Genomic DNA, 24,861 nt, shown 5'->3' with positions numbered 1-24,861 from the left:
CTCCTGCTCCTTCTCTCCCCATCTCCACCTCCTCCCCCTCCTTTCCCTCCATTTTCTTCTCTTCCTCCCCCTCCTGTTTTCTTCTCTTCCTCCTCTTCCTCCCCTCCCCATCTCCACCTCCTCCCCCTCCTCTTTCTCCATTTTCTCTTCCTCCTCCTCCTCCCCCTCCTCTTTCTCCGTTTTCTTCTCTTCCTCCTCTTCCTTCCCTCTCCATCTCTACCTCCTCCCCCTCCTTTTCCTCTGTTTCTTTTCCTTCTCCTCCTCCTCCCCCTGCTCATGTTCTTCCTCTCCTCCCTTCTCTTCTCCTTGTCCTTCTCCTCCTCTTCCTCGTTTCCCCCTCCTCTTCTGAAGCATCCGAGCACCCTGCCCTTGGGTTCAGGGCACGTCAGCTCTGGGCATATTGACATTCTCACCACCTGGGAGGTTCCTCGGAGCTCGGGTATCGTGGACTGAAAGTGTGTGTCCTTCTGTCCCAAATTCCTCCACTGAAGCTCTAACCCCTGGTTGGGCGGTGTTAGAAGGTGGGGTCTTTGGGAGGTGACTGGCGTGGGCTGAAGTTATGAGGGTGGACCCCCATGATGGGGGCTCCCGTGACCCATGATGGGACCCATGACCCATGATGGGGGCTCCCATGACCCATGATGGGACCCATGACCCATGATGAGGGATTCCATGACTCATGATGGGGGCTCCCATGACCCATGGTGGGACCCATGGCCCATGATGAGACCCATGATGAGGGATTCCATGACTCACAATGGGGGCTCCCATGACCCATGATGGGGGTGGGGGTCCCACGACCCATGATGGGGGGGGGGGTCCCATGACCCATGATGGAACCCATGATGAGGGATCCCATGACTCATGATGGAATCCATGATAGGGGATCCTATGACCCATGATGAAACCCATGATGGGGGTTCCCATGACCCATGATGGAACCCGTGATGGGGGGGGTCCCATGACCCATGATGGAACCCATGATAGGGGATCCTATGACCCATGATGAAACCCATGATGGGGGTTCCCATGACCCATGATGGAACCCATGATTGGGGGGGGTCCCATGACCCGTGATGGAACCCATGATGGGGGGGGTCCCATGACCCGTGATGGAACCCATGATGGGGGGGGTCCCATGACCCATGATGGGACCTATGATGGGGGATCCCATGTGGAACCCATGATGGGACCTATGATGGGGGATCCTATGACCCATGATGGAACCAATGATGAGGGATCCCATGTGGAACCCATGATGGGGGGTCCCATGACTCATGATGGAACCCATGATGGGGAATTCTATGACCCATAATGGGACCCATGATGGAGGTTCCCATGACCCATGATGGAATCCATGATGGGGGTCCTATGACCCATGATGAAACCCATGATGAGGGATCCCATGACTCATGATGGGACCCATGATGGGGGGGTCCCATGACCCATGATGGAATCCATGATAGGGGGTCCCATGACCCATGATGGAATCCATGATAAGGGATCCCATGACTCATGGTGGAACCCATGATGGGGGGGTCCTATTACCCATGATGGAACCCATGATGGGGGGTCCCATGACCCATGATGGAACCCACGATGAGGGATCCCATGACTCATGGTGGAACCCATGATGGGGGGTGTCCCATGACCCATGATGGAACCCATGATAGGGGGTCCTATGACCAATGATGGGACCCATGATGGGGGTTCCCATGACCCATGATGGAATCCATGATAGGGGGTTCTATGACTCATGATGAAACCCATGATGGGGGATCCTATGAACCATGATGGGACCCATGATGGGGGTTCCCATGACCCATGATGGAATCCATGATAGGGGGTTCTATGACTCATGATGAAACCCATCATGGGGGATTCTATGACCCATGATGGGACCCATGATGGAACCCATGATGGGGGGTCCCATGACCCATGGTGAGGGATCCTATGACCCATGATGGGACCCATGATGGTGTTAGTGCCCTTCTAACAAGAGACCCCAGAACTTCATCTCTCTCTCTCTCTACACCACGTGAAGACACAGTGAGAAGATGACCCTCTCTCCAAGCCAGGAAGAGACCTCCCGAGGAGCCCAGCCAGCCAGCACGCTGACCTCCAACGTCCAGCCTCTGGAAATGTGAGAGGCCAACGTCTGCGTTGGGAGCCACGTGGTCCCGTGGGATCTGGCCTGGCGCTAAAGCCGTGGTATCACAGAACTGAGGGTGGGAGGGAGTGTCCCGGGCTACTCACCAATCTGTGAAAAGACGACAAACTTATCTGTGCAGGGGATACCGAAGGCTGCGCTCCTGCCCCGCACCAGGATGTGGGAACTTTGAGAACCGCTGGAGAGTCGAGAGATGTCATCGAAACGACACCCGATACGTGTTCCCTGAGCATCCGTTTTGTAGTGAAGACACTCGTACTGTTGACGCCTGCTGCGGTAAGCGGTAAGGTTGGGGGACGACCCCACGCCGATGGCACCCGCACCAGGGACAGCCCGGCCTCTGCCCACGGGCACACCTACTTGGCAACGTTCAAGTACAGGTCGTACTGGACGTCCGCGGGGGCCCCCGGGCCTACCGCCCAGCTGCAGCTCAAGAAATCCACGTCATGAATCCAGCAGGTCAGATTCTCCGCACCTGCCCAAGGCTTCCCACCTGGGTTCACAAACATGAAAGAGAACTCGAATCGGGACCGGGCGCGGTGGCTCACGCCTGTCACCCCAGCATTTTGGGAGGCCGAGGCGGGTGGATCACATGAGGTCAGGAGTTCGAGACCAGCCTGGCCAACATGGAGAAACCCAATCTCTACTAAAAATGCAAAAATTAGCTGTGTCTGGTGGCACGCGCCTGTGATCCCAGCACTTTGGGAGGCCGAGGCAGGTGGATCACCCGAGGTCCGGAGTTCGAGACCAGCCTGGCTAACATGGTGAAACCCAGTCTCTACTAAAAATATAAAAAATTAGCCAGGTGTGATGTCGGGCCGCTGTAATCCCAGCTACTCGGGAGGCTGAGGCAGGAGAATTTCTTGAACCCAGGAGGCAGAGGTTGCATGGAGCTGAGATCACGCCACTGCACTCCAGCCTGGGCGACAGAGTGAGCCTTCGTCTCAAAAAAATAAAAAAACAAACCCAGGCATGGTGGCTCACGCCTGTAATCCCAGCACTTTGGGAGGCCGAGGCAGGAGGATCACCTGAGGTCCGGAGTTCGAGACCGGCCTGGCTAACATGGTGAAACCCTGCCTCTACTAAAAATACAAAAATTAGCCGGGCGTGATGTCGGGCCGCTGTAATCCCAGCTACTAGGGAGGCTGAGGCAGGAGAATTTCTTGAACCCAGGAGGCAGAGGTTGCAGTGAGCCCAGGCCACGTCACTGCACTCCAGCCTGTGTGACAAGAGCGAGACTCCGTCTCAAAAAAAAAAATAAAACTCTAATTCCTTTTTAGAGTGCCTTTTGTATTTTGAGACCATGGTAGATACACAAGCCGTTGTAAAAAATAATAATAATATGGAGAGATCCTGCATATTCTTTTAATGATTTATTTATTCATTTTTACAGAGTCTCGCTCCGTCGCCTAGGCTGGAGTACAATGGCGCCATCTCGGCTCACTGCAACCTCCACCTCCCGGGTTCAAGCAATTCTCCTGCCTCAGCCTCCCAAGTATCTGGGACAACAGGCACCCACTACCACACCCAGCTAATTTTTGTATTTTTAGTAGAGATGGGGTTTCACCATGTTGCCCAGACTGGTCGCGAATTCCTGACCTCAAGTGATCCACCCGCCTCAGCCTCCCAAACTGCTGGGACTACAGATGTTTTTCTTTCATTGTTTGTGTGTGTGTGCGTGTGTGTGCATCTGTGTGTGTGTTTAAGACAGAGTTTCACTCTTGTTGCCCAGGCTGGAGCTCAATGGCTCACCACAACCTCCGCCTCCCAGGTTCAAGTGATTCTCCTGCCTCAGCCTCCTGAGTAGCTGGGACTGCAGGCATGTGCCACCACCCCTGGCTAATTTTGTATTTTTAGTAGAGATGGGGTTTCACCATGTTAGCCGGGATGGTCTCGATCTCCTGACCTCGCGATCCACCCACCTCGGCCTCCCAAAGTGCTGGGATTACAGGTGTGAGCCACTGGGCCCGGCCGCTAATTTCTTTTTAATTTTTTTTTTTTTTTAGATGGAATTTCACTCTTGTTGCCCAGGCTGGAGAGCAATGGCACGATCTCAGCTCACCGCAATCTCCGCCTCCCGGGTTCAAGTGATTCTCCTGCCTCAGCCTCCTGAGTAGCTGGGACTACAGGCATGTGCCACCACCCCTGGCTAATTTTGTATTTTTAGTAGAGATGGGGTTTCACCATGTTAGCCAGGCTGGTCTCGAATTCCTGACCTCAGGTGATCCGCCTGCCTCGGCCTCCCAAAGTGCTGGGATTACAGGCGTGAGCCACCATGCCCGGCTAATTTTTGTGTTTTTAGTAGAGACGGGGTTTCACCATGTTGGCCAGGCTGGTCTCGAACTCCTGACCTCAGGTGATCCGCCCGCCTCGGCCTCCCAAAGTGCTGGGATTACAGGCGTGAGCCACTGCGCCCGGCCTCCCCAAGGAGCACTTTTACAGCCAAACCCACCTCTCTCAGCTCTCACTCCTGCTTATATCCCTGCAACCCAGGAGACTGTTTTCTATTTGTAAAATTTTGCCATTTCAAGACAGTTGTATTAATGAAATCACTGTGTGTGTCACGCTCTGGAGTGGTCTTTTTTTTCCGACTCGGCATAACTCCCTGGAAATCCATTAAACTTAAAAATAATTAAATTGAGGCCCGGCACAGTGGCTCCCGCCTGTCATCCCAGCACTTTGGGAGGCTGAGGCGGGTGGATCACAAGGTCAGGAGTTCGAGACCAACATGGTGAAGCCCCGTCTCTACTTAAAATACAAAATTTAGCCGGGCTTGGTGGCGGGTGCCTGTAATCCCAGCTACTTGTGAGGCTGAGGCAGGAGAATCGCTTGAACCCGGGAGGCGGAGTTTGCGGTAAGCTGAAATCGCACCACTGCACTCCAGCCTGGGCGACAAGAACAAGACTCCATCACAGAAAAACAAACAAAACAAAACAAAAAAATAAACCATGGACTTCTAATTAATTAAAAAACAAAGAAGAGGCCAGGCGTGGTGGCTGATGCTTACAATCCCTGCACTTTGGGAGACTGAGGCGGGAGGATCACTTGAGCCTAGGAGTTTGAGACCAGCTCAGGTAACATAGCGACACCCCATCTCTACAAAAAGTATTTAAGGCTGGGCGCGGTGGCTCACCCCTGTACTCCCAGCACTTTGGGAGGCCGAGGCGGGCAGATCACGAAGTCAGGAGTTTGAGACCAGCCTGACCAACATGGTGAAACCCCATCTCTACTAAAAATACAAGAATTAGCTGGGCGTGGCGGTGGGCGCCTATAATCCCAGCTACTCGGGAGGCTGAGGCAGGAGAATCGCTTGAACCCGGGAGCCAGAGGTTGCAGTGAGCCGAGATCGCGCCAGTGCACTCCAGCCTGGTGGACAGAGTGAGACTCTGTCTAAAAAAAAAAAAAGGTGTTTAAAAAATTAGGTGGGCATGGTGGTACATGGGTGTAGTTCCACCTACGTGGGAGGCTGAGGCAGAAGGATTGTTTGAGCTCAGGAGGTGAAGCCTGCAGTAAGCTGTGATTGCACCACTGCGCTCCAGCCTGGGCAACAGAGCAAGACCGTGTCAGGAAAGGAGAGGGGAGAGGAGGGGAAGGGAGGGGAGGGGGAAAGAGAGAAAGAGAGAGAGAGAGAAAGGGAAGGAGGGAAGAAGGAAGGAAAAGAGGAGGGAGAGAAGGAAGGAAGGGAGTGAGGCAGGGAGGAAAAGAAAACGAAAGGGAAGGAAGGAGAGAGAGGAAGTAGGGTGGGAAGGAGGAGGGAGGAAAAGGAGAGAAGGAGGGAGGGAAGGAAGTGAAGAAAAGAAAGAAGGGAGGGAGGGAAAGAGAAAGAAAAGAAAGAGAGGAAAGAAGGAAAGAAAGAAAGAAAAAGAAAGGAAGAAAGAAACAGAAACAGAAAGAAAGAAAAAGAAAGAAAGAAAGAAAGAAAGAAAGAAAGAAAGAAAGAAAGAAAGAGAAAAAGAAAAGAAAAAAGACACAGCGAAGGCGAGAGGGAGGGAGAGAGGGAAGGAGGGAGGGAATAGAGAATAAACAAACAATGAACATTTTTCTCACTGTTCTCAGGGAAGAGGATCCACGTGGAGAATGGTGGGTTGGCCACTCGGACGGTGTAGTTGGTCACTTCACATAAGGAAATTGCTCCAAACTGGCAATAGCTATTGTTCACTGCCTAAGAGAGACATAGGACTATGATGGCTGCTGACAGACCATGCTTAATTTGACGCTAATGATGTTCAGATTTTTTTTGAGGCAGAGTTTCGCTCTCGTCGCCCACGCTGGAGTGCAGTGGCGTGATCTCGGCTCACTGCAGCCTCTCCCTCCCGGGTTCAAGCCATTCTCCTGCTTCAACCTCCCGAGCACCTGGGATTACAGGTGCCCGCCACCACGCCCAGCTAATTTTTAAAGTATTTTTCTGGGTAGAGACAGGGTTTCACCATGTTGGTCAGGCTGGTCTCGAACTCCTGACCTCATGTGATCCGCCTGCCTCAGCCTCCCAAAGTGCTGGGATTACAGGCGTGAGCCACCGTGCCCGGCCAAGACTTTTTTCTGTTTTTTTTTTTTTTGAGAGGGAGTCTCGCTCTGTCGCCCAGGCTGGAGTGCAGGGGCGCGATCTCGGCTCACTGTAGCCTCTCCCTCCCGGGTTCATGCCATTCTCCTGCCTCATCCTCCCAAGTAGCTGGGACTACAGGCGCCCGCCACCACGCCCGGCTAATTTTTATATTTTTAGTAGAGACGGGGTTTCACCGTGTTAGCCAGGAGGGTCTCGATCTCCTGACCTCGTGATCCACCCTCCTCGGCCTCCCAAAGTGCTGGGATGACAGGCGTGAGCCACCGCGCCCGGCCACAATTTTTTTCTAAAGATACAAAAGCTTGAATAAAAATAATCCCACTTAGCAGTAAATATTAGTGAAATACTTTTCTGTTTGTTTTGCTTTGTTTTTTTCTTGTTTGTTTGTTTTTTGTTTCTTTGTTTTTTTGTTAAGACAGGGCCTCACTCCGCTTGCCCAGGCTAGACTTCAGTGGTGCGATCTCAGCTCACTGCAACCTCCACCTCTCGGGTTCAAGCAATTCTCCTGCCTCACCACCGCACCCGGCCACATTTCATTAATCTACTTGTATATTCTTCGTTTTGTTTGCTTTTGTTTTTGTTTTTTTGAGACAGAGTCTCGCTCTGTCGCCCAGGCTGGAGTGCAGTGGCGCGATCTCGGCTCACTGCAAGCTTCTGCCTCCCAGGTTCAAGCCATTCTCCTGCCTCAGCCTCCCGAGTAGCTGGGACTACAGGCACCAGCCACCACGCCCGGCTAATTTTTATATTTTTAGTAGAGACGGGGTTTCACCGTGTTAGCCAGGAGGGTCTCGATCTCCTGACCTCGTGATCCACCCGCCTCGGCCTCCAAAGTGCTGGGATGACAGGCGTGAGCCACCACGCCCGGCCTACTTGTGTATTCTTATAGCAATCCGCACATTGGGTATGAACTTTTCAGTGCCTTTTGATATAGGTAAGGCAGGTTCTCCTTCATTCACCTTCTTTTTCAAAATTTCCTTAGTTTTTTTTTCAGCATTTGTGTTTCTAAAGTTGAGAGTCAGTTTGCCATGGTATGGTAAAATCGCTCTGGGATTCTAGACTGTTTTATCTCTACTCTCCAAAATCACAAAGTTCAATGGGACTGTATTTGGAGCTGGGGGTAGGATTTTATAATGGTGGCCCGAGCAGACGCATGAAGGGCCGTGATTTGAATTGTATTGAACGAACATAGCTCTTGGAGGGGACCAAATAGGTTCTCAGGGAAACGTGCTCCTTTCCCATAAGACACTGACTTGTAAATAGCTCACAGTGTCACCTGGGCCACCCCATGAGGTCTGGCGCTGTTCTCAAACCCTGAGAACGCAGGTGATGACAAGATGGGGGATTTGGAAGGATTTCGTGATGAGGACCTTGTTTCCTGAGCACACACTTTTGTTTTGTTTTTGCTTTTGTTTTTGTTTTTGTTTTGAGATGGAGTCTCACTCTGTCACCCAGGCTGGAGTGCAGTGGCACAATCTCGGCTCAGTGCAACCTCGGCCTCCCAGGTTCAAGCAATTCTCCTGCCTCAGCCTCCTGAATAGCTGGTATTACAGGCATGTGCCACCACATCCGGCTAATTTTTCTTTTTCTTTTTTGACATGAAGTCTTGCTCTCGTCCCCCAGGCTGGAGTGCAGTGGCACAGTCTCGGCTCAATGCAACCTCTGCCTCCCGGGTTCAAGCGATTCTCCTGCCTCAGCCTCCCAAGTAACTGGGATTACAGGCGCCCACCACCATGCCCAGCTAATTTTTATATTTTTAGTGGAGGCGGGGTTTCACCATGTTGCCCAGACTAGTCTCGAACTCCTGGCCCCAGGTGATCCATCCGCCTCAGCCTCTCAAAGTGCTGGTGTGAGCCACTGTGCCCGGCTAACTTTCGTATTTTTAGCAGAGACAGCGTTTCACCGTGTTGGCCAGACTGGTCTCGAACTCCTGACCTCATGATCCGCCCGCCTCAGCCTCCCAAAGTGCTGGGATTACAGACGTGAGCCACCACGCCCAGCGTGGGGTTGGGTTTCGCACCAGTCATAGCTTAGCCTCATTTCACTTTCACATCCACCCTGTCCAGTGTGTGCCATCTTAGATGTCCCGCGGACGGGGAACCAGACCCTCCAAAGTCACTTCAAATCCCACACCTGACTTCGGGGCAGAAACCAGGTAGTCATGACACCAGCGATGGGAGCAGTATTGGTTCTGAGATTCCTGCAGAAGACGGAAACGTCTTGTTCGTCAACATTAGAGAGTCTGGGCCATGCGCGGTGACTCGCGCCTGTAATCCCAGCACTTTGGGAGGCCGAGGCGGGCAGATCACGAGGTCAGGAGATCGAGACCCTCCTGGCTAACACAGTGAAACCCCATCTCTACTAAAAATACAAAAAAATTAGCCGGGCATGGTGGCGGGCGCCTGTAGTCCCAGCTACTCGGGAGGTTGAGGCAGGAGAATGGCATGGACCTGGGAGGTGGAGGTTGCAGAGAGCGGAGATCGGGTCACCGCAGTCCAGCCTGGGCGACAGAGCAAGACTCCGTCTCAAAAAATAAATAAATACATAAATACATAAATAAATAAAATAAAAATAAAAAAACAATAGAGAGTATGATTTACCGGCATAGAATAGTCGGCGTCTTTAACACACTCGATATCGGTCACATTTCTGTTAAGGTCCCAGGTCAACTGCTGAGCCTTTGCTTTCATCCTTAGGTTCGTGATTGGTGGGTTTGGATCTAAAACGGTGACAGGTTGGAGTTCGAAGAGATACGTAAGAATCTTAAAACGGCATTGTAAGGGGTATGGTTTTTTTTTTTTGCCCGTGGAGTTAGCCAATACCTTTGGGAGGTGGAGTTCTTTTATTTAATTTTTTTAAATTTTTTGACATGGAGTTTCACTCTTGTCGCCCTGGCTGGACTACAGTGGCACGATCTCAGCTCACTGCAAGCTCCGCCTCCTGGTTCAAGCAACTCTCCTGCCTCAGCCTCCCGAGTAGCTGGGACTACAGGCGCCCGCCACCACGCCCGGCTAATTTTTTTTTTTTTGTATTTTTAGTAGAGATGGCGTTTCACCGTGTTAGCCAGGATGGTCTCGATCTCCTGACCTCATGATTCGTCCGCCTCAGCCTCCCAAAGTGCTGGGATTACAGGCATGAGCCACCGCACCAGGTCAACAATCTTAAAACAGCATTGTAATGGGTATGGTTTTTTTGCCCGTGGAGTTAGCCAATACCTTTGGGAGGTCGAGTTCTTTATTTTTTTAAATTTTTTATTTTTTTGAGACGGAGTTTTGCTCTTGTCACCCAGGCTGGAGTGCAGTGGCACGATCTCAGCTCACCGCAACCTCTACCTCCCGGGTTCAAGCGATTCTCCTGCCTCAGCCTCCCGAGTAGCTAGGATTACAGGAGCCCACCACCACGCCCGGCTAATTTTTGTATTTTTACTAGAGATGGGGTTTCACCATGTTGGCCAGGATGGTCTCGATCTCCTGACCTCGTGATCTGTCCGCCTCGGCCTCTCAAAGTGCTGGGATTACAAGCATGAGCCACCATGCCCAGTTGATATACAACAATCTTAAAACAACATTGTAATGGGTATTTTTGTTTGCTTGTTTGTTTTGAGACGGAGTCTCACTCTGTCGCCCAGGCTGGAATTCAGTGGCGCGATCTCGGCTCACTACAACCTCCGCCTCCCGGGTTCAAGCGATTATCCTGTGTCAGCCTGCTGTGCAGCTGGGATAACAGGTGCCTGCCACCACACTCGGCTAATTTTTGTATTTTTACTAGAGATGGGGTTTCACCATGTTGGCCAGGCTGGTCTCGAACTCCCAACCTCACATGATCTGCCTGCCTCAGCCTCCCAAAGTGCTGGGATCACAGACGTGAGTTACTGAGCCTGGCTGGGAAGTGGAGTTCTATGTACACAGGAGACTTCTGTGAGCTGGTAGAAGTCATAAAGCAAACGGGCGTGGTGGCTCACGCCCGTCATCCCAGCACTTTGGGAGGCCAAGGTGGGCGGATCACCAGGTCAAGTGATCAAGACCATCCTGGCTAACACGGTGAAACCCCGTCGCGACTAAAAATACAAAAATTAGTTGGGCGTGGTGGCGGGCGCCTGTAATCCCAGCTAATCAGGAAGCTGAGGCAGGAGAATCACTGGAACTCGGGAGGCGGAGGTTGCGGTGAGCTGAGATCGTGCCACTGCACTCCAGCCTGGGTAACAGAGCGAGACTCCATCTCAAAAAAACAAAAAAACTCCGTCTCAAAAAAAAAAAAAAGAAAGAAAGAAAAAGAAGGTCTCTCTTAGCCATCACAGAGCTCAAGATATTTCATAAATGACCTGTACAAAGATGTTAAAGGCAATATTCTTTTTTTTTTTTTTTTTTTGAGATGGAGCCTCGCTCTGTCACCCAGGTTGGAGTGCAATGGCGTGATCTTGGCTCACGGCAACCTCCGCCTCCCGGGTTCAAGTGATTCTCCTGCCTCAGCCTCCTGAGTAGCAGGGATTACAGGTGCACAGCACCGCGCCCAGCTAATTTTTTTGTATTTTTAGTACAGACGGGGTTTCACCATGATGGCCAAGCTGGTTTTGAACTCCTGACCTCAAGTGATCCACCCGCCTCAGCCTCCCAAAGTGCTGGGATTACAGACGTGAGCCGTTGCACCCGGCCAGTAAAAGGCAATATTCTATCACATTTTGCTGGTCACCCAAAGCTAGAAACATACATCAACTATTTCTCTAGGGTTTATCTCTGATCGGCCACTTAGAAAACTTGAGGAAATGACTTTATAAACTGTAAGGATCTTGAGTGGTTATCAAGGTCAGCAACCTTGGTTTGATAAGCGGGACCAAAGCATAAGAATGTCTAGACTTCTGGCATTATTTTCTTCTAACTTAGAAGGATAATTTATCCCTTAAAACAAACTGTCTGGGGAAAAAAATTCTTATAAGAAATTCATTCATTCATTCATTCATTTTGAGACGGAGTCTCACTCTGTCGCCCAGGCTGGAGTGCAATGGCGTGATCTAGGCTCACTGCAACCTCCTCCTCCCGGGTTCAAGCGACTCTCCTGCCTCAGCCTCCCGAGTAACTGGGATTACAGGCGCCCGCCACCACGCCCAGCTGATTTTTGTATTTTTAGTAGAGACGGGGTTTCACCGTGTTAGTCAGGCTGGTCACGAACTCCTGACCTTGTGATCGTCCACCTGCCTTGGCCTCCCAAAGTGTGTAATCCCAACCCCGAGGCAGGCGGATCATGAGGTCAGGAGATCGAGACCATCCTGTCTAACACGGTGAAACCCCGTCTCTAGTAAAAACAGAAAAATTAGCTGGGCGTGGTGGCGGACACCTGTAATCCCAGGTGCTTGGGAGGCTGAGACAGGAGAATCAATTGAACCCAGCAGGTAGAGGTTGCAGTGAGCCATGGTCACGCTATTACACTCCAGCCTGGGCGACCAGAATGAAACTCTGTGTCAAAAAAAAAAAAAAAAAAGAAGTTAAAGAATGAAAAGCAAATTAAAGTTAAAAGAAATTCAAGGTAAAGTGAAACCCTGCAGTAATAGACTGTAAAAACCAATGAAAAAAAAGGCCGGGCGCTGTGGCTCACACCTGTAATCCCAGCACTTTGGGAGGCCAAGGCAGACGGATCACTTGTGGTCAGCAGTTCTAGACCAGCCTGACCGACATAGTGAAATCCCGTCTCTATCAAAAATACAGAAATTAGCCGGGTATGGTGGTGCGCGACTGTAATCTCAGCTCCTCGGGAGGCTGAGGCAGAAGAATCGCTTGAATCCGGGAGGCAGAGGTTGCAGTGAGCCGAGATCACACTATTGCACTCCAGCCTGGGCAAGACAGTAAGACCCTGTCTCCAAAATAAAAATAATAAGAAAATGAAAAAGTAAGATAAACAATGAAGGAAACTGGAAATTGTTATTGGTGCTGTTGATCCCAGCGTGTGAGTTTCATCAAAACACCTCACATGGCATCTGTGTCACGATCAGGTCCCTGCCTGTGAGGTCGTATTACCGTTTTGCAAGATGCTGCATTACAGGGAACTTGGTGACGGGTACAGGGAAGTGTCTGAGTCATTCCCGACCACTGCATGAGACTCTGCCATGAGCTCAGCATGAAAAGTTTCCCTGAAGGACGGCACGCTGACATTGTGTGTCTGTCTACCCCCACCGCTCCCCAGGTGGCACGTGCATTTTTTCTCCAGTTCTTACCTTCCTTCGTTTGCAGGAGACAGGGCAGGGCGATCAGGAGCAGCGTGAGCCAAAGGAGGACCATCGGGAACGCAGCTCCGGAACGCAGGACAGAGGTGCCTGCTGCAGGAGAAACGAGAGTCAGGCAGCGGGGACTGGCTGTGAAACTGGGTTGCGGGTAATGAAGGATGCTTGCCCCTTCCAGAGCCTGGTGCTCACAGCAGAAGGAGCTGCTTCTGGAGGGAAAGCGGTGGTGAGTGTGCATATGTGTCTGTGTGCAAATGCGCCTTTGCACATGCATGCACATCAGAGTGTGCTTCTACATGTGTGCACGAATATTCGTGTGTGTGTACATGGGTCTATATGTGTGCATGCCTCTATGTAGCCATGTCTGTTTGCACATTTGCAGGACTGCATGCATGCCTGTGCACACACGGGTACTGTGTACATGTGTCTGTGTGTGTGTGTGCTTGCACGTGTGTACATTTTTGTGCCCGTGTGTATCTGTGTGCACACATAAGTGTTTGTGTGTTTTCTTTTTTTTTTTTTCCTGATGGAGACTCGCCCTTGTCGTCCAGGCTGGAGTGCAGTGGCATGATCTCGGCTCATTGCAACCTCTGCCTCCCAGGTTCAAGCGACTCTCCTGCCTCAGCCTCCTGAGTAGCTGGGATTACAGGCACTCGCCACCATGCCTGGCTAATTTTTGTATTATTTATTTATTTATTTATTTTTTGTGACAGAGTTTTGCTCTTGTTGCCCAGGCTGGAGTGCAATGGCGTGATCTGGGCTCACTGCAACCTCCGCCTCCCAGGTTCAACCGATTGTCCTGCCTCAGCCTCCCGAGTAGCTGGGATTATAGGCACCCACCACCATGTCCGGCTAATTTTTGTATTTTTAGCAGAGACGGGGTTTCACCGTGTTGGCCAGGCTGGTCTCGAACTCCTGACCTCAGGTGATCCACCCACCTCAGCCTCCCAAAGTGCTGGGATGACAGGCGTCAGCCACCGCGTCCAGCCCACTTTTTGTATTTTTTAGTAGAGATTTGACCATGTTGGCCAGGCTGGTCTCGGACTCCTGCCTCAGGTGATCCGCCCGCCTTTTCCTCGCCAAGTGCTGAGATTACAGGTGTGAGCCACCGTGCCCGGCTGTGTTTGTGTGTTTTCATGCATGCAGGTACACACAGTCTTTGTGTTTGAATGCATATGTATCTGTGCATGCATTCCACGTGTACACACATGTGCATAAATATATGTGCATACACAAATATACATGCATGAGTCTGTATGTGTGCATGCATGTGCCTAGAAGTGCATATTTATGTGCATGCATGTGTGAATGTATGTGTACAAATGTGTTTGCATCAGTGTGTATGTGTGCATGTATGTGCATGCATCTGTGTGTGTGTCAGCCGTTCCCTTTTGAAAGAAGCCCTGCCGGCTGGGTGCAGTGGCTCATGCCAGTAATCCCAGCACTTTGGGAAGCAGAGGTGGGCAGATTGCCCGAGGTCAGGAGTTCAAGACCAGCCTGGCTAACATGGTGAAACCCCGTCTCTACTAAAAATACAAAAATTAGCCAGGCGTGGTGGAGTGTGCCTATAATCCCAGCTACTCGGGAGGCTGAGGCAGGACAATCAGTTGAACCCGGGAGGTGGAGCTTGCAGTGAGCCGAGATGGCGCCACTGCACTCCAGCCTGGACGACAGAGCGAGACTCCGTCTCAAAAAAAAAAAAAAAAAAGAAAAGAAAAGAAAGAGTTGCTGCCCTGGGGGTTTAGCCCGTTCTTGGCTCGAGCTGTATCCACAAACCAGGAAAACACATCCTCTGCGGCACACCAGGAAGCTCAGATGACAAAGCAGTGGAAGGAAGTATAATTACAATGATGAAATCAACACACGGAAATTCCTAAGTGGCTGCAGTTACCGTAACAAGGGGGTACAGGACCTCAGCCTCCTGCACTGGAACTTTCTGCCGCATCCCAGAAAGGCTGGCTCTCCTACACTGTGCTCTGGGGTGGCAGCTGTCTTTTCTGGTTTTTTGTTTTGTTTTGTTTTGTTTTTTCTGAGATGGAGTCTCACTCTTGTTGTCCAGGCCGGAGTGCAGTGGCGCGATCTTGGTTCACTGCAACCTCCACCTCCCACGTTCAAGCGATTCTCCTGCCTCAGCCTCCCCAGTAGATGGGATTACCGGTGTCCGCCACCACACCCAGCTAATTTTTCTATTTTTAGTAGAGATGGTGTTTCACCATGTTGGTCAGGCTGGTCTCGAACTCCTGACCTCATGATCCACCCGCCTTGGCCTCCCAAAGTGCTGGGATGACAGGCGTGAGCCACCGCGCCCGGCCTAACATCTTTTAAAGAACCAAATGGCGTTAGCGTCAGTGGACCTTGCTTGTCTCCAAATTATAAATGGAAGGGGTGAGCCTGGAAAAAGCTGAGCCCCTTGAGGCTGGGGACGGGACTGAGGGCAGCAGGGAAAAGGTAAAATGAGGTTCCAGAGGCCTCGGAGCCCCTTCCTGCCTGGGCAGAGGGACCGCAGCCCACCTCCAAGGCAACAGGCAATCTCTAGAGTCTCCTTTCGGACAGAGCCTGTGTTCAGCTCATGGGCTCACCACACACAGTCACACTTGCCTGTAGGGGCTGTGGTCCAGGAAGATGCCTGAGTCAGAACGTTGGGAAATCTGTGCTCTTAACATTTATTGATTAATATTTTCATTGGCCAGGCGCGGTGGCTCACGCCTATAATCCCAGCACTTTGGGAGGCTGAGGGGGGTGGATTGCTTGAGGTCAGGAGTTCGAGACCAGCCTGACCAACATACAAAACATACTAAACATACAAAATCTCTACTACTCTACTAAACATACAAAGTCTCTACTAAACATACAAAAATTAGCCAGGCGTAGTTGCGGGTGCCTGTAGTCCCAGCTACTCAGGAGGCTGAGGCAGGAGAATTGCTTGAACCCGGGAGGTGGAGGTTGCAGTGAGCTGAGATCGCGCCACTGCACTCCAGCCTGGGCGACAGAGCGAGACTCTGTCTCAAAAAAAACCACCACTTCTATCTTCTAGAACATTGTCACGACCCCAAAAGGAGACTCCAGACCCATTAAAGACCCGTCCTTCCTCTTCCCCAGCCTGTGGCAACCACTCATCCACTTTCTGTCTCTGTGGATTTGCCTGTATCTGGACATAGGGAATAAATGGAATCATACAGACACTATGTATCTTTTTGTATCTGGCCTCTCTCAGGAAGCATGATGTCCTCAGCATTCACCCACATTGCCACCTGTGGCAGAGCCTCGTTCCTTTTCATGGCTGTGTAATATTCCACCGTGTGGCTGGACCACATTATATTTCTCCATTCATCTATAGATGGGTATGAGGACTCTCTCCACCTCTTGGCTAGTGTGAATAAAGCTGCTTATTCCTTTTCATGGCTGTGTAATATTCCACCGTGTGGCTGGACCACATTATATTTCTCCATTCATCTATAGATGGGGTATGAGGGCTGTCTCCACCTCTTGGCTATTGTGAATAAAGCTGCTTGTTCCTTTTCATGGCTGTGTAATATTCCACTGTGTGGATGGACATTATATTTTTCCATTCATCTATAGATGGGTATGAGGGCTGTCTCCACCTCTTGGCTATTGTGAATAAAGCTGCTTGTTCCTTTTCATGGCTGTGTAATATTCCACTGTGTGGATGGACATTATATTTCTCCCTTCATCTATAGATGGGGGTATGAGGGCTGTCTCCACCTCTTGGCTATTGTGAATAAAGCTGCTTGTTCCTTTTCATGGCTGTATAATATTCCACTGTGTGTCTGGACCACATTATATTTCTCCATTCATCTATAGATGGGTACGAGGGCTGTCTCCACCTCTTGGCTATTGTGAATAAAGCTGCTTGTTCCTTTTCATGGCTGTATAATATTCCACTGTGTGGCTGGACCACATTATATTTCTCCATTCATCTATAGATGGGTATGAGGGCTGTCTCCACCTCTTGGCTATTGTGAATAAAGCTGCTTGTTCCTTTTCATGGCTGTGTAATATTCCACTGTGTGGCTGGACCACATTATATTTATCCATTCGTCTATAGATGGGTATGAGGGCTGTCTCCACCTCTTGGCTATTGTGAATAAAGCTGCTTGTTCCTTTTCATGGCTGTGTAATATTCCACCGTGTGGCTGGACCACATTATATTTATCCATTCGTCTATAGATGGGTATGAGGGCTGTCTCCACCTCTTGGCTATTGTGAATAAAGCTGCTTGTTCCTTTTCATGGCTGCGTAATATTCCACTGTGTGGATGGACATTATATTTTTCCATTCATCTATAGATGGGTACGAGGGCTGTCTCCACCTCTTGGCTACTGTGAATAAAGCTGCTAGGAGGGACCTGAGGTTTCACCAGCCATCTGGAACATTCTGAGTCCCGCCAGCCTTTGAAAACCACTGAGAAACACTACAAGCAGGCTGGGGTCCCAGCCCCAAAAGCGGCTCCCCGGCTGGCAGTCAGCTCGCCCTGGGCGTGAGCTCATTGACTAACTGAACCAGCGCTTTCTAATAAACAGAGAACTCTAGCCATGTGTAGGTGTGTACATTTTCTAGCAAGCACACAGAAAAAGCAGAAAGCACTGTCAAATTACTCCTAATGCTATCACCTTTATAAACCCAAGGCATCTAACATGCTATGATGGCTTCAGCGTCCGATCCACTTACAAAAGGGTGAATGAGATCGCAAACATACTTCTCTGGTACCGGGTCATTCTATGTGTGGTGTGGTGCCCACACGGACAGCAGGTCTCAGCAGAAACCTGTTACATGCCAATGCCCCGTGTCTGCCAGCTTGGATTTGGGAACCCACAGTCCACCGCCTCCCCTGCCTGCCCTCTTTTTCCCTCATCCCACCCTGGAGGGGGGACCTTACCTTAAATGGAGATCAAAGTACTGTGTGGAAGAAACAGCCTTCGTGGTTCCAGTTGAGAAGATCTGGGGTGTCCTGATCCTAGGATGTTTCTGATATCTTCCCGTGTGCGCTGAAAGCAGCTTTCCCCGAAGAGAAACCGAAGGTTGTACTCCCCGATTGAGCTGTTTTATAACCTCCAGCTGGGGCCCCACCCCTGAAACTCAGACCCAATAAGGATCTGGCAGTGGGGAGGGGTGGGGGCTGTCAGAGACCCCCTTCTCTCCCACGGGCTGGGATCCTGGGGTCAGCAGCTTCGTAACCATGAACCTGACTTTCCTTGAAAGAAAGACTCTTTCTTTGAAAATTATCATGTTCCCGTTCTCATTTTTTTTTTTTTCTGCAAGTGTTTCTGTTTGCTATAATTAGAATTCTTGCTGGCTATACAGGCAGGGTTGGGCAACTTCCTGACATAGTAAATTCAGCCTTGGAGGCGTGAACGCTGGTGTCCAGGGGCTCCTGCCTGTGTTTCCTCCCTGTCTCGTGGGAAACAGCACCCAGACAGGGAGGTGGCCCCCGGTCTCAGATGACAGATCTTATTAAAGATATGTTAGTGGCCGGGTGCGGTGGCTCACGCCTGTCATCCCAGCACTTTGGGAGGCCGAGGCGGGCAGATCACTTGAGGTCAAGAGATTGAGACCAGCCTGGCCAACATGGTGAAACCCCGTCTCTATTAAAAATACAAAAATTAGCCCAGCGTGGTGGTGAGCACCTGTAATCCCAGCTACTCGGGAGGCTGAGACAGGAGAATCGCTTGAACCTGGGAGGCGGAGGAGGTTACAGTGAACCGAGATCGCGCCACTGCACTCCAGCCTGGGCGACAGAGCAAGACTCGGTCTCAAAAAAAAAAAAAAGATATCTTAGTGGTCAGGGGTGGTGGCTCACACCTGTCATCCCAGCACTTTGGGAGGCCGATGAGGGCGGATCACCTGAGGTCAGGAGTTTGAGACCATCTGGCCAACATGGTGGAAGCCCGTCTCTAGTAAAAATTTAAAAATTAGCCAGGCGTGGTGGCAGGTGCCTGTAATCCCAGCTTCTCTGGAGGCTGAGGCAGGAGAATAGTTTGAACCTGGGAGAGAGGTTACAGTGAGCCAGGATGGCGCCAGTGCCCTCCAGCCTGGGTGATAGAGCAAGACTCCGTCTCAAAAAAAAAAAAAAAAAGATATCTTAGTGGTCAGGTGCGGTGGTTCACACCTGTCATCCCAGCACTTTGGGAGGCCGAGGAGGGTGGATCACCCTGAGGTCAGGAGTTCGAGACCATTCTGACCAACATGGTGAAACCCCGTCTCTAGTAAAAAGAAAAAAGTTAGCCAGGCGTGGTGGTGGGTGCCTATAATCCCAGCTTCTCCGGAGGCTGAGGCAGGAGAATCATTTGAACCTGGGAGGCGGAGGTTACAGTGAGCCAGGATGGCGCCACTGCACTCCAGCCTGGGAAATAGAACGAGACTCCGTCTCAAAAAAAAAAAAAAAAATCTTAGTGGTCAGGCGCGGTGGCTCGCACCTGTCATCCCAGCACTTTGGGAGGCTGAGGCGGGTAGATCACCTGAGGGCAGGAGTTCAAGATCAGCCTGGACAACATGGTGAAACCCCGTCTCTAGTAAAAATTTAAAAATTAGCCAGGCGTGGTGGCAGGTGCCTGTAATCCCAGCTTCTCCCAAGGCTGAGGCAGGAGAATCACTTAAACCCGGCAGGCGGAGGTCACAGTGAGCCGAGATCACACCACTGCACTCCAGCCTGGTGACAAGAGCAAACTCTGTCTCAACAGAAAACAAACAAACAAAAACCCTTAGTAAAGTCCAGCCCTGAATGGGGCACTCACCAACCTGTCCCGGGCTTCTCTTTCCAACGCTGAAATCTGTTATTTCTGTTTACTCAGCACGCGCACTCCCAGACAGCCCTTCCCTTCCCTCTGAATGTATCAACTCTTCTCTGGTTCTCGGCACCCTTCCCAAATTCCACCCCAACCTCAGCCCTTCCCCAGAGCCTCCACCTTGCAGCCCGGCTCCTGTTTTTTTTTTTTTTTTTCTTTGAGACGGAGTCTCGCTTTGCTTGCTCTGTCATCCAGGCTGGAGTGCAATGGTGCGATCTCGGCTCCCTGCAACCTCTGCCCCAGGTTCAAGCGATTCTCCTGCCTCGGCCTCCCAAGTAGCTGGGATTACGGGCACCTGCCACCACGCCCGGCTAATTTTTAAATTTTTACTAGAGACGGGGTTTCACCATGTTGGCCAGATGGTCTCGAACTCCTGACCTCAGGTGATCCACCCTCGTTGGCCTCCCAAAGTGGTGGGATGACAGGCGTGAGCCACCGCACCTGACCACTAAGATATCTTTTTTTTTTTTTTTTTTTTTTTTTTCTGAGATGGAGTCTTGCTCTATCACCCAGGCTGGAGTGCAGTGGCGCGATCTCAGCTCTCCGCAACCTGAGCCTCCCAGGTTCAAGCGATTCTCCTGCCTCAGCCTCCCGAGTAGCTGGGATGACAGGTGCCCGTCACCACACCCAGAAAAGGAAGTTTGAAATGATGGGGTTGTAAATGTGATGTCAACTCATGGCTAACCGCTTCCTTATTTTTTTTTAACTGGATATATTTAACGTACAAACAAGATGTTTTGATACAGAATTAACTCTTAGGCAATGTGCAGGTTACAGACACTGCCACCTCGTGCACTCAAAAATCCAAATACAGGGCGGGGCCCAGTGGCTCACGCCTGTAATCCCAGCTCTGTGGGAGGCCAAGGTGGGTGCATCACCTGAGGTCAGGGGTTCAAGACCAGCCTGACCAACATGGCGAAACTCCATTTCTACTAAAAATACAAAAATGACCCAGGCACGGTGGTACATGCCTGTCATCCCAGCTACTCAGGAGGCTGAGGCAGCAGAATCGCTTGAACCCAGGAGGTGGAGGTTGCAGTGAGCTGAAATCACGCCACTGCACTCCAGCCTGGGCAACAGAGTGAGACTCCATCTGAAAAAAAAAAAAAAATCCAAGTGTGACTTTTAACTCCCCCAAACCGTAACAACTAACAGCCTAGTGTTAACCAGAAGCCTTACTGATAACATAAACAGTTGATTCATACATATTTGTTATGCTCTGTGTATGCTATACTGCATTCTTGCAATTAACTAGGCTACAGAAAAGAATGGTATTAAGAAAACCATGGCGGCAGGCCGGGCGCGGTGCCTCACACCTGTCATCCCAGCACTTTGGGAGGCCGAGGCGGGCAGATCACAATGTCAGGAGTTCAAGACCAGCCTGACCAACATGCTGAAACCCTGCCTCTACTAAAAATTCAAAAATTAGCTGGTTGTGGTGGCACATGCCTGTAATCCCAGCTACTCGGGAGGCTGAGGCAGGAGAATCGCTTGAACCCGGGAGGCGGAGGTTGCAGTGAGCCGAGGTCGCGCCACTGCACTCCAACCTGGGCAACAGAGCAAGAATCCGTCTCAAAAAAAAAAAAAATACAAAAAGTAGCTGGGCATGGTGGCAGGCACCTGTAATACCAGCTACTGAGGAGAATAAGGCAGGAGAACTTCTTGAACCTGGGAGGTGGAGGTTGCAGTGAGCTGAGATTGTGCCACTGCATTCCAGCCTGGGCGACAGAACAAGACTCCATCTCAAAAAAAAAAAAAAATTAATACAAACACCCTGGCATGCTTGGGTCAGTTTTTTTTCCTTGGTAACATCTTACAAAATGAGGGTTGCAATGTTGCAACCTGGAGATTGATACAATCTTACTTGGGTGTTCCCAGTATTACTAAGCATTCAGTTCTAAGTAATTTTATCACATGTGTGGCTCAAGCCTGTCATCCCAGCACTTTGGGAGGCCGAGGTGGGCGTATCACGAGGTCAGAAGATCGAGACCATCCTGGCTAACACGGTGAAACCCTGTCTCTACTAAAAATACAAAAAACAAAAAAAATTAGCTGGGTGTGCTTGTGGGCACCTGTAGTCCCAGCTAGTCAGGAGGCTGGGCCAGGAGAATTTGGCTTGAACCAAGGAGGCGGAGGTTACAGTGAGCCAAGATCATGCCACTGCACTCCAGCCTGGTGACAGAGGAAGACTCTGTCTCAAAAAAAAAAAAAAAAGAAAGAAAGAAAATAGCCCTTTAGATGATCAGTCATTCTCCTATAAAGACACACGCACACGTATGTTTTTGCAGCACTGTTCACAATAGCCAAGACTTGGAACCAACCCAAATGTCCATCAATGATAGACTGGATAAAGAAAATGTGGCACATAGACACCATGGAATACTATGCAGCCATCAAAATGGATAAGATCATGTCCTTTGCAGGGACATGGATGAAGCTGGAAACCATCATTCTCAGCAAACTCACACAGGAACAGAAAAACCAAACACCGCATGTTCTCACTCATAAGTGGGAGTTGAACAATGAGAACACATGGACACAGGGAGGGGAACATCACACACCAGGGCCTGTCGGGGCTTGGGGGACAAGGGCAGTGAGAGCATTAGGACAAATACCTAATGTAGATGACGAGTTGATGGGTGCAGCAAACCACACTGGCACATGTATACCTATGTAACAAACCTGCACATTCTGCACATGTACCCCAGAACTTAAAATAAAATACAAATAGAAATAAAAAACAAAGAAAACAGCCCTTTAAAAACCAACACCTCCCCTCCACCTTGAGTCTGGGGGGATGGGGTCATTTTATTTTATTTTTATTTTTATTTTATTTTTTTAGATGGAGTCTCTCTCTGTCACCCAGGCTGGAGTGCAGTGGTGTGATCTCTGCTCACTGCAACCTCTGCCTCCCAGGTTCAAGAGATTCTCCTGCTTCAGTCTCCCGAGTAGCTGGGATTACAGGCGCCCGCCACCACGCCTGGCTAATTTTTGTATTTTTAGTAGAGACCGGGTTTTGCCATGTTGGCCAGGCTGGTCTCGAACTTCTGACCTCAGGCAATCTGCCGGCCTCCCAAAGTGCTGGGATGACAGGCGTGAGCCACCATGCCTGGTGGGGGCCATTTTATTTATTTATTTACTTACTTATTTACTTATTTATTTATTTATTTTTGAGACAGATTCTTGCTCTCTCGCCCAGGCTGGAGTGCAGTGGCGCGATCTCGGCTCACTGCAACCTCTGCCTCCCAGGGTTCAAGCGATTCTCTTGCCTCGGCCTCCCAAGTAGCTGGGATTACAGGCACCTTGCCATCATGTCCAGCTAATTTTTTTTTTTTTTTTTTTTGAGACGGAGTCTCGCTCTGTCGCCCAGCCTGGAGTGCAGTGGCAAGATCTCGGCTCACTGCAAACTCCGCCTCCCAGATTCAAGTGATTTTCCTGCCTCAGCTTCCGGAGTAGCTGGGACTACAGGCACCTGCCACCACGCCGGGCTAATTTTTGTATTTTTAGTAGAGACAGGGTTTCAGCTTCTTGGTCAGGCTGGTCTCGAACTCCTGACCTCAGGCAATCTGCCGGCCTCCCAAAGTGCTGGGATGACAGGCGTGAGCCACCATGCCTGGTGGGGGCCATTTTATTTATTTACTTACTTATTTACTTATTTATTTATTTATTTTTGAGACAGAGTCTTGCTCTCTCGCCCAGGCTGGAGTGCAGTGGCGCGATCTCGGCTCACTGCAACCTCTGCCTCCCAGGGTTCAAGTGATTCTCCTGCCTCAGCCTCCCGAGTATGGGATTACAGGCAGCTGCCATCATATCCAACTAATTTTTTTTTTTGAGATGGAGTCTTCCTCTGTCACCCAGGCTGGAGTGCAGTGGCAAGATCTCAGCTCACCACAACCTCCGCCTCCCAGCTTCAAGCGATTCTCCTGCCTCAGCCTCCCGAGTAGCTGGGACTACAGGCGCCCGCCACCATGCCCGGCTAATTTTTGTATTTTTAGTAGAGAAGGGGTTTCAGCTTCTTGGTCAGGCTGGTCTTGAACTCCTGACCTCAGGTGATCCATCTGCCTCTGCCTCCCAAAGGGCTGGGATGACAGGCGTGAGCCACGCACCCAGCAGGGGTCATTCTGAAAAACTCCTTGGGCTGGTGGCAGAGGAGGGAGGCAATTGGGAATAGCTTCAGAAGCTTGCGGGAGGGGTGGCGGCCTTGGCAGGACTTGGGCAGGAGGAACAGAAACAAGGAAATGAGAAGGGATGGTGGGTGAGTCTGGGAGATAACACAGATGGGAGACACCCGAAATAGAACCTCCTTAACGCAGCAAGGCGTGCACCTGTGTGTGCAGACCCTCGTATGTGTGCCACCCATGCCAGGAGCACAGCCGACTTTTTCTTTGTTCTTTGAGACGGAGTCTCGCTCTGTCGTCCAGGCTGGAGAGCAGTGGCATAATCTAGGCTCGCTGCAAGCTCCACCTCCCGGGTTCAAGCGATTCTCCTGCCTCAGCTTCCGCAGTAGCTGGGATGACAGGCACCTGCCATCATGTTCAGCTCATATTTTTTTTTTTTTTTTTGATATGGAGTCTTGCTCTGTTGCCCAGGCTGGAGGGTGGTGGTGCGATGTCGCCTCACTGCAAGCTCTTCCTCCTGGGTTCACGCCATTCTCCTGCCTCAGCTTCCCAAGTAGCTGGGATGACAGGCACCTGCCATCATGTCCAGCTAAATTTTTCTCTTTTTTTGGAGACGGAGTCTTGCTCTGTCGCCCAGGCTGGAGTGCAGTGGCGAGATCTCGGCTCACTGCTACCTCTGCCTCCCAGCTACTGGGGAGGCTGAGGCAGGGGAATCACTTGAACCCCGGGAGGCGGAGGTAGCAGTGAGCTGAGATGGTGCCACTGCACTCCAGCCTGGGCAACACAGCAAGACTCCGTCTCAAAAAGAAAAAGAAAAAAATGAGCTGGACATGATGGCAGGTGCCTGTCATCCCAGCTAGGCGGGAGGCTGAGGCATCCCTTGTGAGGATGTTGAGGGGTGCACAGTGGCCAGGTAAGTGGGATGGGACCTGGCTTTGGTTAACCTTCCTCTGGGTTTCCGTCCGCTGCTCTTCCGCAGCCTGGGTGATGGCTGGAGACCT

General features: G+C 50.7%; 1 protein-coding gene and 1 long non-coding RNA gene across 25 annotated transcripts in view; one reads left to right on the top strand and one right to left on the bottom strand.

The window, feature by feature from the left end:
• LOC101928032 (uncharacterized) overlaps positions 1–17,489 on the top strand; it is a 41,203-nt gene extending 23,714 nt beyond the window's left edge. For 12 of the 18 annotated variants that reach the window (XR_001755759.2, XR_007068375.1, XR_001755748.2 and 9 more), the window contains 4 exons: positions 2,045–2,143; positions 2,292–2,453; positions 12,950–13,165; positions 15,974–17,067. This is a non-coding gene — a long non-coding RNA (uncharacterized LOC101928032). Of the gene's footprint in view, positions 1–2,044; positions 2,212–2,291; positions 2,454–3,563; positions 3,990–4,176; positions 4,735–12,949; positions 13,166–15,973; positions 17,068–17,246 lie in introns of those variants that run through there. The other 6 variants (XR_007068376.1, XR_007068373.1, XR_001755754.2 and 3 more) reach the window with 6 other exon arrangements.
• The window catches only part of IL3RA (interleukin 3 receptor subunit alpha), a 45,905-nt gene extending 27,927 nt beyond the window's left edge, over positions 1–17,978 (bottom strand). The window contains exons 1-6 of one of the 7 annotated variants that reach the window (NM_002183.4): positions 17,837–17,978; positions 12,934–13,035; positions 9,329–9,447; positions 6,218–6,332; positions 2,531–2,663; positions 2,257–2,441 (exon numbers count right to left, since the gene is read on the bottom strand). In NM_002183.4, coding sequence (NP_002174.1) covers positions 2,257–2,441; positions 2,531–2,663; positions 6,218–6,332; positions 9,329–9,447; positions 12,934–12,997 — 616 coding nt within the window. In that variant the 5' untranslated portion in view covers positions 12,998–13,035; positions 17,837–17,978. Of the gene's footprint in view, positions 1–2,256; positions 2,442–2,530; positions 2,664–6,217; positions 6,333–9,328; positions 9,448–12,933; positions 13,182–17,836 lie in introns of those variants that run through there. The other 6 variants (XM_005274432.2, XM_005274431.6, XM_017029491.3 and 3 more) reach the window with 6 other exon arrangements.
• Positions 17,979–24,861: the final 6,883 nt, after the last annotated feature.

The sequence above is a fragment of the Homo sapiens genome, chromosome X, assembly GCF_000001405.40.
Source record: "Homo sapiens chromosome X, GRCh38.p14 Primary Assembly".
Taxonomy (NCBI): domain Eukaryota; kingdom Metazoa; phylum Chordata; class Mammalia; order Primates; family Hominidae; genus Homo; species Homo sapiens.
The sequence above is the reverse complement of the archived record's forward strand: the minus strand, read 5'-3'. Positions and strand labels throughout refer to the sequence as shown.